Source organism: Homo sapiens, chromosome 5, assembly GCF_000001405.40.
Source record: "Homo sapiens chromosome 5, GRCh38.p14 Primary Assembly".
NCBI lineage: Eukaryota > Metazoa > Chordata > Mammalia > Primates > Hominidae > Homo > Homo sapiens.
This window is the reverse complement of record NC_000005.10, coordinates 167,064,204-167,076,207: the sequence shown is the minus strand read 5'-3', so window position 1 is coordinate 167,076,207 and position 12,004 is coordinate 167,064,204. Positions and strand designations below refer to the sequence as shown.

The 12,004-nt window shown below is 36.6% G+C and overlaps 1 protein-coding gene across 9 annotated transcripts in view; it reads right to left on the bottom strand.

Moving 5' to 3' along the window:
• Window positions 1-12,004, bottom strand: part of TENM2 (teneurin transmembrane protein 2) — a 1,285,129-nt gene that overhangs the window by 1,187,950 nt on the left and 85,175 nt on the right. For all 9 annotated transcript variants that reach the window (XM_047417418.1, NM_001395460.1, XM_017009661.2 and 6 more), the window contains one exon: window positions 2,852-2,966. The gene's annotated coding sequence lies outside the window, so the exon portion shown is untranslated. Of the gene's footprint in view, window positions 1-2,851; window positions 2,967-12,004 lie in introns of those variants that run through there.

Sequence of the window (12,004 nt, the reverse complement as noted above, 5' to 3'; positions counted from 1 at the left end):
ACCTAGTGTTTTCTCTGAATCCAACATGGAATAAAAACCACTCTATACACAACTTCATTAAGCAAAAGGTTGATTTTTTTGTATGTTATGTTTAAGGTAGATCCCTGGCCAGAAAAGCTGTATACCTTAGGATACTGCCTCTTAAAGAGCAAAGAGAATGGCATTTAAAACTTCGGGCATAAGCTTACATGAAAAGGAAAGAGCCAGGGCTGGTCTGGGAACTGAAAACCTGGGAAAAGACTGGCTTATGTTTATAAAGCCCCTTATTGCCTGGCAAAGCTATTCTCATTTATTCTACTAGAGCTCAGAATGACACTCTAAATGAGCAGCAGAGGGCAGAAGCCTTGTAGGGCCCTTTTGCAAGTAGGTGGGTATTTCTTGAAAACAGGTTCAATGAAATGTAATGCCAGGCAGTTAGCAGGAGGAAGTTCTTCTAAAAGTTCGTAGGAGTTTTCTGCAAGCCAGGCCCTGCATCAATGACTGGCTTGTTATTTAGCCATAATTGGAAACATTTTTGGTTGCAGTAGTGAATTATGAAAATACTGCCCTATCACATGACGGCAACACGTTATGAAAGAATTGAATGAATGTGCAGGCCAGCTTGTCAGCCAGGTCACTGTAAAACACCTGAGAACTTCAGCAAGTTGTTCAAGCTTTCATCCTCTGAACTTGAGATTCTAAGATTTGCTTTTATTCTCAAGGAAGTTCCCAGCACCATGTAGCCTTGCCTTTTTCTTCCCACATCCCCATGCCATTCCTTACCATCCTCTACCTACTTTCCCAATCACCTTGCACCAAAAAACCGTCTTGTCACATTTTACCAGAAAACTGAGTTAGAAGATTAAATTAGATGATGAGGTTAGGATGATGAACGACCAAGAGGAAGATAAGGGATGGTTGTTGGGTATAACGGGGAAACCCTCTAGGAAGCCTCAACAAAGGCTTCATTCTCCATGGCAGGCTCCATTCTACCAGGTTCTCCCCCATGAAACTCTCTCTCTCTCTCTCTAACTCTGCAGTTTTCTGGTCTGTTACTTGCTGGGAGAGGACAGATGGGTTAGCATAGGATATGCCAGAGTCTTGGGTCTGTTTCACCATACGCCTTCCTATTTCTTCCAAAATTGACAACTCTGCATTTATAATGGATTTCCTAACCACTTGGTTAGAGTTCCTTAAGAACAATAGCAAAAACAGACCCAAGCTTCTACGACAGCAAGTGGCACCAGGGGATGCTTCCAGGAAAGAATGGCACCTGGTCTGTGAACTATTCACCTTGCCTTCTAACCAAGGCAGGGTTGCACAGCCAATTTGAAGCTGGCCTCCAAGACACTGGGAACAATTATTCTTCAGAGAAGGGTAAGGTGTGCTGAGCACTGCTTATTAAATTGAATGCCTGTATCAGAAGGAAAGCACAATACAATCCTAACAGAACCGCTACCACCCTAATGGAAGATTCTCCCTGTTCAGGCCGCGCACCCATGAAAACGTATGGAGCCAGCAAGAGGAATGTGGAAAACTAGCCGTGGTAGACAGGTAGATTTAAAACATGTTGCTTGGACGTCAATTACTTCGCCATCAAAATGGAGCCAGAACTGCTGTCAACGTTCCTTTATCCTTAACTATTTGTCTAAATACTGGACTAGGTACTTTATTGCATCATCTCATTTAATTGTCACCACAGCCTCATGAGATTCCCATTCAGGAATTATATAATCTGCACCTTCTGTACTTTCTAAAGTGACTGTTTCAACCAGGCTGATCATTGTATTATGAACACCTCCATCATGAGAGTGTTCATGTCTTCACCCTGTCCTTACCACCGTTTCTACTTCCTCGGCCACCTAAGACATAGTCTTCACTAATGTCTCGCTTTTGCAGAAAAACTTCAGCTAGAAATCAAGAATTAAAAAAAAGAAGAAAAAGGATTTAATCCAGATCTATTTTCCACTGGTTTGTCTAATTACTTATGAGTTTTTAATATCTCCTCTTACACCTTATCCTTAACCATAAAGTCCTATACATATTCAATTTACTAAAAATATGCTGTAGCTGATGTTCTAGCTAAGTCAGATGTCCCGACTTCAAATTAAAATTGCATAGTGCATTAATGGTCCTTATAGAACCCTTTAGTTGTTCCACCCCAAAATGAGCCATCTTGGCAGAATTTGATCTGTAAAAAGATAAAAGCAAGATCTAAACAGCAGAGGACCAGGGGAAAATGGTTGTAGGTGTCTTAAGAAAGAACCTGAGAGAAACATTTGTTATAGGGGGCCAGATGACGTCGAAATATATGGAGAACACCAGTTCAGGGACCATAAAAGCAGAAACAATTTAACCGGGAACATGAGAAAAGCTTAATGATTTTCTCTTTGCTTTCTGTCTTATGGCCTGTATAGATTAACAACATTTAACAGATCAAGAGGGCCAAGTTTTTCCATCCAAAAGGCCTTTGCACTCTAGGATGTGATGCTATGTAGCCTAGCTAATCACAACCAGCACAGTTTATTTCTATGTGAAGATAGCAAATAAGAAAAATGTGGTGACCAAATTATTTGGTGGGGTGAGGTGCGGGGAGTCACAGGGGGATCTATCCAGGTAGAAAAGAGGCAGATATGCGACTGAAGAATTGTAAAGTCATTCAATTGGGTTGGGAGGGGGAGAGACAATAGCAAATTTCAAAGACAGAAAATGGCAGTACAAATTACTTTTGTCCATAAGAAAAAGAAAATCCTTTTCTGCACAGAGCTGGAAAAGCCCTATTTTGTGCCCTGTATGAAAGCATTTTGATCAACAATGCAAACACAACTTGAGGCAGAGCAAAACACAAAATTGTAGCTATGATTCCACTCACCAAAAGGGTGGATCTTCGATGTACAATTCAGCTGGCTTTACAGGAGTGCTCCACAGCAAAGCCAAATGACGAAGCAAGCCCCAGACCGCTTAGGCAATTAAAAAGCTGGATGTAACTGTTAAAATGAAAAAGAAAATAGGTAAGATCCAAATGAGCATATAAAGCAAACCCAAAAAAATGCAAATAAATACCATACATCTTCAAAATGTAGGAAAGTTGGAATTAGGAGCTAAATGGACTAAATCGCACACCTTATCTCTTAAAGAATACCTTTCAATAGAGGAATGTAAAATATGGTATAAAACATATTGATTAGTTAAGTCACTTTGACTATGGCACACTATTTCTATTAAGATACATTACCACAATTATAGAATATCTATTTGTTATCCTTCAACGATGATGCAGTTTATACTACAAATGCAGAAATACACAGTATTAGAGTGAGAGAATAGTTCAAATGCATTTTTCTAGCAATATACAGACCTTATGTTTGCTCTTCAGATTTACAAATAATTTATTTCATCTTAAAATGTACAGTTTGCTCATCCATCCAACTTAAGCATGATTTTGCTGACTTTTACATTTAAATATTTACTGGCTAATACCATTGTCAATAGCATGTGGGGTATATCATATAACAGGAAGGTCCCAGTGATCCCAACAGAACTTGCTCTGAGCAAATAAGTTTAATCATCTAAAAACTGGAATATCATAGCCCCTATTTCATAGAAATTGTTGCAAAGATAAAATATAAAATTCTGTGAAAGCACTTGGCACAGTGCCCGGCACGTAAAACTCCTCCAGTACATGTCTGCTGTCCTTGTCACTGTTGTTACCACCATTCCAAGGTTACATGTCTCAACTTCATCAACAGACATGTTGGGCTCATCTCCTAATGACTGATGACTTTGTACAAAGCAATTCCCTGCCCTCCGCACCAACCAAGGCCAAAAAAAGGCAACACATCAAACTAAGCTACACCCAGACATCATTAAGTGACTCACTAAGTTCCTCCTCTTCTGGCAAGTAAAACTAGGACAGTGAGAAAGTGGAAGAAAAAAGAGGGCTTGATAAAGAGGGAGTGACAATAATTGAAAACAATTAGCTCTAATTTCTCTGTTTTGCTCAAGTCATTCTCGTCTTGGATGCTAAATGTATTCCTCCACATGTCAACACAATGAGCCCCGCCTTGTCTGGCCTGTCCAAGGCAGTGTGTAGGATTTTCTAATGAGCTGGGAAGTGCAAGCTTGGCTGAACCCATCTTGAGTGCCCCTGTCCAGCCACAGCTGCATGCTATATTCCTAGACACCCTCCTTACAAGGTCAAGCAGCAATTTAAGACTGATGGCTGCATCTTCCCAACCACTCTGAGAAGCCCTTCTACCCTCCACAAAGGCACCTGGCAATCTGGAATAAAAGCGTTGAGTGCTAGCATCCTGATTTTCCAGACGGTTGGGGGTTGGGGGCGGGGGGGGGCGATTTGTCAAAATTCAATAGGGAAAATGGAATTAAAACCACAGCACACTAGGATTTGGATATCTCCTTCACTAATAAGCACAACCTCATTCAATGTCCCTGAAATCCTCTGAGCCTCAATCTTCTTATCTGTAAAATGGGAAGCCAATGCCTACCATACAAAATTCAGTAATATCGAAAGAAGATGCTTCTGGCACACAACCAAGGATAATTACCATCTATTTTTGCTTTCCTTTTTAAGCTACTTTCCTTACTATTAATATGCTACCTTGGTATATGATTATATGAGAATGGTAGGTATAGGATTGACTAATCAAGATTATGTGTCTTTAAAAGACAAATTGACAAGACTAGACAACACTATAAGACCTTGTGTAAACTTGCTTTGTTTTTGTTTTACTTTTCAAGTCTTCAACTTGGCAAGCAGAGCCCAGCAAAGGAATACGGTTCTTTGATTCCCTCCTTAGAAACACTGCAGCCTTTATTGTCTTTATATCACACAGCTTTAGCACTTAATTATATCCTACCTTGGAATAATTAGATGTCCTTATAATCAAGTCTGTTTACTCACTTGTGCAGTTCTGATCCTTTAAACTCTCTTGAATATTAGTTTGTAATGCTATTAAGAGCCACAATTTAACAATTTTATTACTAAATAAAATTGCAAGAATATTTTGAAGGAGTTCCACCAATGGGTTGAATTTTTTAAAAAATTACCTTTATAATTAGGAATAGTACAAATTTATAAAATAATTATGCCTGACAAATAGAAGCACACAGGGCTTGCGTGCCTTCCCGCCGACTAACTGTGAAGCCTTGGACAAGTCACTGAACTTCATCTGGGACCTGTGTGCAGAGGAACCTGTAGTACGGTCAGACACTTGTCTCAGCTAGATCACCAATTTAGTCGAAAGATAAGTTAAGAATTATCTATAGTAAAAAAACTATAATAAGACAACTGTCCATTTTAGGCAATAGAAAAATGTTAGGTGCTTAGTTATTCTACATAATATAATTATAAATTTAAAACATTTAAAAGCCTGCTGCTAAAATATCAAAGACAAACCAAGCATCGTCAGTGAACACAGTAGTACACTGGGTACAGTGTAAGGATTAAATCACCAGGCTCTACAGCTCAAGTGCCTGGTCTTCACACTTGACAAAAACGCTTAACAGTCACATGATCCTAGACAAGTTATAATCCTCTGTGTTCCTTGGATTCCTCCTGGGCAAGATAGGGATAATAACAATAATAATAATATCTAACCCAAAGGGTTGTGGTAAAGATTATATAGATTATTCACTTAACACAATGGCACATAATAAAAAGTAGCTATTATTAATATTTATTATGATTAGTGAAATGGAGTCACATAAAAATCCACTACTTTCCAAACTGTCAAACTCACACCATGTTTTGTTATTTGCATCATCAATATTTCTCAAATGAGGCTGGGCGCAGTGGCTCATGCCTATAATTCCAGCACTTTGGGAGGCCAAGATGGGGGGATCATGAGGTCAGGAGACCGAGACCATCCTGGCTAACACGATGAAACCCCATCTCTACTAAAAATACAAAAAAAAAAAAAAAAAATTAGCCGGGCGTGGTGGCAGGTGCTTGTAGTCCCAGCTACTCGGGAGGCTGAGGCAGGAGAATGGAGTGAACCCGGGAGGCGGAGCTTGCAGTGAGCCGAGATCGCGCCCCTGCACTCCAGCCTGGGCGACAGAGTGAGACTCTGTCTCAAAAAATAAATAAATAAATAAATAAATATTTGTCAAATGAATAAATGAGAAAGATTTTTTGACTAGTACATTCACTCATCAGATATTCAATAACAAATGGCACACGCTTTAAGACGGTACATTTAACAAATGTTATTTACTAGGTTTTCATCTACATTAAGATGTATCAGATAAAGTTTATATGTTGATTGAAATTAAATACCTTATTAATTAAATGACAGAACTAGGCAAACTCAAAATTTATAGTTTTTCTGAAACAGAAATTTCTGTTACAGTTTACATGCCAAATTTTCTGTGATGACAGTGCGATTTGATCTATATTTTCAAGCTTATTTTTGAATATTTTTTAGCATCATTACAAAACTATCTAAATGGTTCAGCTAAATGAAAATTAAGTAAACATCATTCAAAACCACATCAGCCAATGATAACCACTGCTTACACTTTGGCGAGCATCCTTCTAGACATCTCTCTATAAATAAATTCACTTGGAATAGACAAAATTGTGCATAAGTAGGACAATGCTATACATTGATTTTTATTTCAAAGCTTTTTGTCTATTGGAAATGTACTTTCTAGATTATTGATGCCAGTTAATCTGGGTCCCCTTTTGATTCAATCAAATTATTTTGACTTTCCATTTAATATTTGTAGAAAATTTGAGATATTCAAATACCCTATTTAAAAGTAATATCAGATGAGCAATTTAAAATAATTAAGCATTATTGACATTTGGGGAAAGATTTGGAGATTCTTTAATTTGCATCATTTAGATGAACTTTTCTACCGTTAAACATATAAATCAGAAAAATTAAGCAAACACCAGACTACATATCTTACACAAATGCCACAAATGAAAGCGATATAGAAAAACCTATAAAAATCCAGACAATAGGAATAAAACTTGCAAGATGTTGTTATCTTCATTCAAACTACCAGCTCCCTTAATGGAAATTAAGTTTATAGGCTTAAAAGAAATATTAACAATTTTCCCTTTAGATATAAAGAGAATGATATTACAATGTGAGGAATGGGAGATTAGTAAATGCTAATTAGTTGACTTCTTTCTAATGAATAAAAATACATATTTCACAGACATAAAAATACGAGCATATGAGTTTCATTCCACACAGCAGAAGAAAATGAAATGACGAGTTCAAACGAATGAATTTCAGAATACTCAAGCTATTTTGCATTCTACTGTTCATATAACTGTTTTAGAACTTCAGCCTTATTCCAAAAAGAAATATTCTAAGTCCACATAAAAGATCTCTCTATTACTTAATACAGAAATTTCATAATGAGGCATTTGGGACTCACAATAAAATAATTTTATAACACAGAAAATTATTACTTGGTCTGTATATACCAAAACCAGTCAACTAATATTATTCACTCATTTATTTGAGAAATATTTAATTGAGTGATGATTATGTATGTGATACCATTTCAAGCCCCAGGTCTACACTGTGTAATATAGTAGCCACCAGCTACATGTGGCTGATGAGTATTTGAAATGTGAGTATTCTGCAATGACATGCACTGCAAGTGTAAATTACATACCAGATCTGACAGATTTAATATAAAAAATGCAAAATATCTCAATAACATTTTTACTTTGGTTATACATTAAAAAGATAAGGTTTGGTATCTCAGGTTAAATAAAATATATTAATACAATTAATTTCACCAGCTTTCCTCTCTCATTATTTATCATGTGCCTATTAAAAATTTACAATAACGCATGTGGCTCACATTATTTTCTACAGAACAGCCCTTTCCCAGGCGATACTGGTGGTGAACAAAGAACACAGATGTCCTGTGTATTTATGAAGTCTGCATGATTGTGACTGGGCACTAATGCTGTTTAAGGACCTGGGTCCCATGCTAAGGAAGGTGTATTCAAATATAAGCTGCAAGCCAACCCCTGCAATTTTGCCATCTACTATTAAACTTCAGAAAGACACATCAAATGTCACTTAAGAACGGTGATGCTGTTAAATTCGAGCAGCCTAAAATACAACTCTTCCTTATGTAAAGAAGTCTCTCTACTAAAGTTATGGTTGTTCAATGCACCTCACTTCCTTTATCCTGAGGAAAGTGTTTGACCAATGTGCAGTGCAGAACCCACCATGTGCTGTGGATGTTGTCCTCAAGCTCCAGAGGAAGGAGGAAGATGTCACATTTTATTTGCTTTTAATGGCAAATTTATACAGTGGAGCAAGTGGCCTCATCACAAATGCTATTTGAAATTCATTGATATCCTCAAGCTAGCCAAGTTGGATCTTAGGAGGAAAGGGCTGGGAGAAAAATATTTCAAAACATCCAGAGGCTCCTGAAACATCCCTCAGGATCTGAAGATCCACTGTGGTTATGACCAATACATTAGAGAACTGTCGAGTGTATGTTAGAGATGAATGAGCAGAGCATAGTCTTTGGTGATCCTGACCAACATCATAAAGAAATTATGGGCAGCCAAAGAGTAATGACAAGATATGCTTAGAATAAATTTAAAATAGCACACCTTGGTTTTCTTATATGTTTTATTCCCTCCAAAACCACTTCCATTCAAAAAAGTGTCTTATTCTTGTTAAATGGAATCTTGGAGTTTCCACTCTTTAAGACAGCATTTCAATTAATTTAACTCACCCTCTCTTTCATCCAGAGCTTTCCACAATAATCTGTCAAATGTTGGCATGGCTTTGCTCAGAATACGTGGCTTCTATCTTAAAGATGCACCAAGTCAATCAAAACACAATCATATTTTCAACATTCAAATGCAGGATCTGTGACAAAGCTTATGTTCAAAGGCTTCAAAAAAAGGAAAAAAAATTCTGCAAAAGTTTAGAAATATTACATGGTATTCCATGTAATATCAATTCATTAAGCAATTCTGAAAGGTTCAAATCTTATTTTGCTTAAGGGTTGTCTGGTACAGAAATTACTGAAGTTTTTAAAATATGCACCCTCTCCCTGCTTATTTTCTGAATGAATAAATACGAGACCAATTTTATACAGAATCACTTCAACTTGAACTAATAATTGTTTATTGCATGCCTAGAATAATGTTTGTTTTAGATGAATACATATAAAAAGGAATGTAAAAGAAAACATTAAATCGGTCAGTAATTATAATTAATTCATAGATAGTTGAGACTCATTTGCTTTTGCTAAAGTATATAAAATAGTACTCATATGGAGGCCTAGAGTGCAATCAAATGAGTACTAAATCATATGAGGACTGTTATCATTTACTGAATAGCTTAGAATACAAAATACCATTTTTGAAGAAAGATTAGTATAAGCAGAAACCTGTAGGTCTCACCAGAAACTGTGAATCCCTTGCTGATTATTTTCTTTATTTTGAGGGATGTACGTGGCTCATTTTCAGGAAATTTGAAATCATTAACAAAAATTAAAAACTGCCAAAAGATGTTGCTTGGAATTTGATTTGCATTGAAACATTCTGGGACATTTGATTTGTTCATGAAATATATAAGGACATATATAAAATTCTCACTCATAGGTAGGAATTGAACAATGAGAACACTTGGACACAGGAAGGGGAACATCACACTCCGGGGACTGTTGTGGGGAGGGGGGAGGGGGGAAGGATAGCATTAGGAGGTATACCTAATGCTAAATGACGAGTTAATGGGTGCAGCACACCAACATGGCACATGTATACACATGTAACAAACCTGCACATTGTGCACATGTACCCTAAAACTTACAGTATAATAAAAAAAATTCTCATCATCTCTTTTTAAATGTGAGTGGATAGGAACTAACCCATGGAATAAGAATGCTTGTTAAATCATCAAAAGAGTCTGACCTTTGTGTATGGAAGCTGGCTCCCCTTAACTGATGCCCCATCCTACTCCTTGGTTTGGTAATATAGTAATTATCATACTTAACCTTTGTCCATGAGAAACCTATTTAATTGTTGATCTGATCCTCTCAATTATCACCCACAATATCCCTCAAAGATTCATCCAGTTGTTCATCATATTCACTCCTTGATATGGAGGCAAATGAATTCTTTCCCGCACTCCCTTGCCCAGCACTCACACCACCCAGGGAGAGTTATTCAAGTGAGCAAGTGAAAAGAGATCAAGTGAGTGGACCACTTAATGGTTCATCAACACTCAGTCATCCTTGATGAAAACGACCAGAGCTACAAAGTGACAGCAGAATACACACTAACTGCAGCATTCCACTGAAAGCGATACAGTACAACTACAAAAGAAAGAGAAGGAAGCTTAGGGTGCTCTGTTTATAAGGAATTTGGTTTCCAAATACACAAATCCTGACCACTGTTGTCTATGATAAATTTTCACAGTAAGCACAGTAAGCTATCCAGTCCATGAATAAACACTTCTGGATCACCTTTAAATGGGCTTTATGGGAATTCAGTTTGAAATGAGCACTTTACCAATAGCCAGAATTGATTCCTATCTTTGCATTAAGAATAATTCCCATTGGACTTCTATTTATCAACACGGTATTAGCCATCACTATGTATTATTTGTAGTTAGCTGAAAATAACGACTTTGTATTTCTTTAAAATAATTCATATTTCTGTCCCTCACTCACACTACTCATACACGTTGTGTGTCTGCACACACACATCCTTTCTCCCTCACATACATACACACAGTGACTCAATGCAGGCCATTACAATCAAAAGGAATTTACTGTTTGTGGAATATTTTAGAAGAAGAAAGTGAAGAAGGGATACAGAAATGTGGAAATAACATGTGTTTGCAATATTTTGAAAATTAAAGATCCCATATACCAAATGTCATATATATAATTATAGTTTTGTATTTTCTAAAAGTACAATCATTAAATAGATCAAGCTGTTAGATTATTAAAATAAAAGGTTATGTGCTAAACTTTTAAATACATACAATGTATTTTAATCATATTGCTGTCAGATCTAATGGCATCAACAAAAGTGAGGGATACACATTCAAAATCAATTTCAGAGCTAAATACTCATTGTATACGGTGCCAGTAGAAATAATACCAGTCTTCCAAAATAAAAAAATAAAATTTACTTTATTTTTATTACTGTGTTAGTCTTACCGACATGAACTGTACCCTTTAAAACGCAAATTCTCTAGTAACAGTAAATATAACCACTGTCTAAACAAGAAATCAGCATAATTATTGTATTAAAAAATAAATATTTCCAGAAGCAGCCAACAAATGCCTTCATCCCTTTCGTTACTCTCCCCCTAATTAATTAACAGATTGGCACAGTCTAAGAACAAAATTTATTTTCAATTAAAATAAGAATCCCGTATGTCATGATAATTTTTTGTTACTATTTGTAATGTGCAAAACAAAGGTTTGCTTTTAGCACCGAACATAGTAATCAAAACAAATCCTTTAATTTTCAATAACTGTAAGGATACTTCAAGAGTTGTTCTCGTAGCAAGGTACTACCTCGATGGTTAATCCTATTAAGAACTGAGCCATGCACTGCAACTAAATCCTCTGGGGAATTTGAGGAATGAAAGGCTTACTGCACACTTAGAAGGCAACGACTTTTGTAAAGGGCTCTATTATATGAGGAACAAAAGAATACCACTTGTGTACTTAAATATCATCTGCTTTTCCTTCCAAAATACTCCATTTTTAAGTAAAGATATGTGATTTAAATGTATTTAGAGTTCAGCTTTTGGCACGACTCTCGTTTCTGAGTAGAAGTGCCATCTGCGGGCCCCATGGCTCACGCATAATGATATGCTTACAAGCTGCTTCCCTTTTCTGCACAATGTACCCTTTTCACTTTAACATACATTTTCCATAAATTTTTGAATAACAAATTGGGCCGTGGAAGTTTGTTGAAACGGGACAAGGGAAATGCCTGTAGGCTAGAAAACGGCGATTTTACTCAAGAAATTGGTGCAGCGGAAAATAT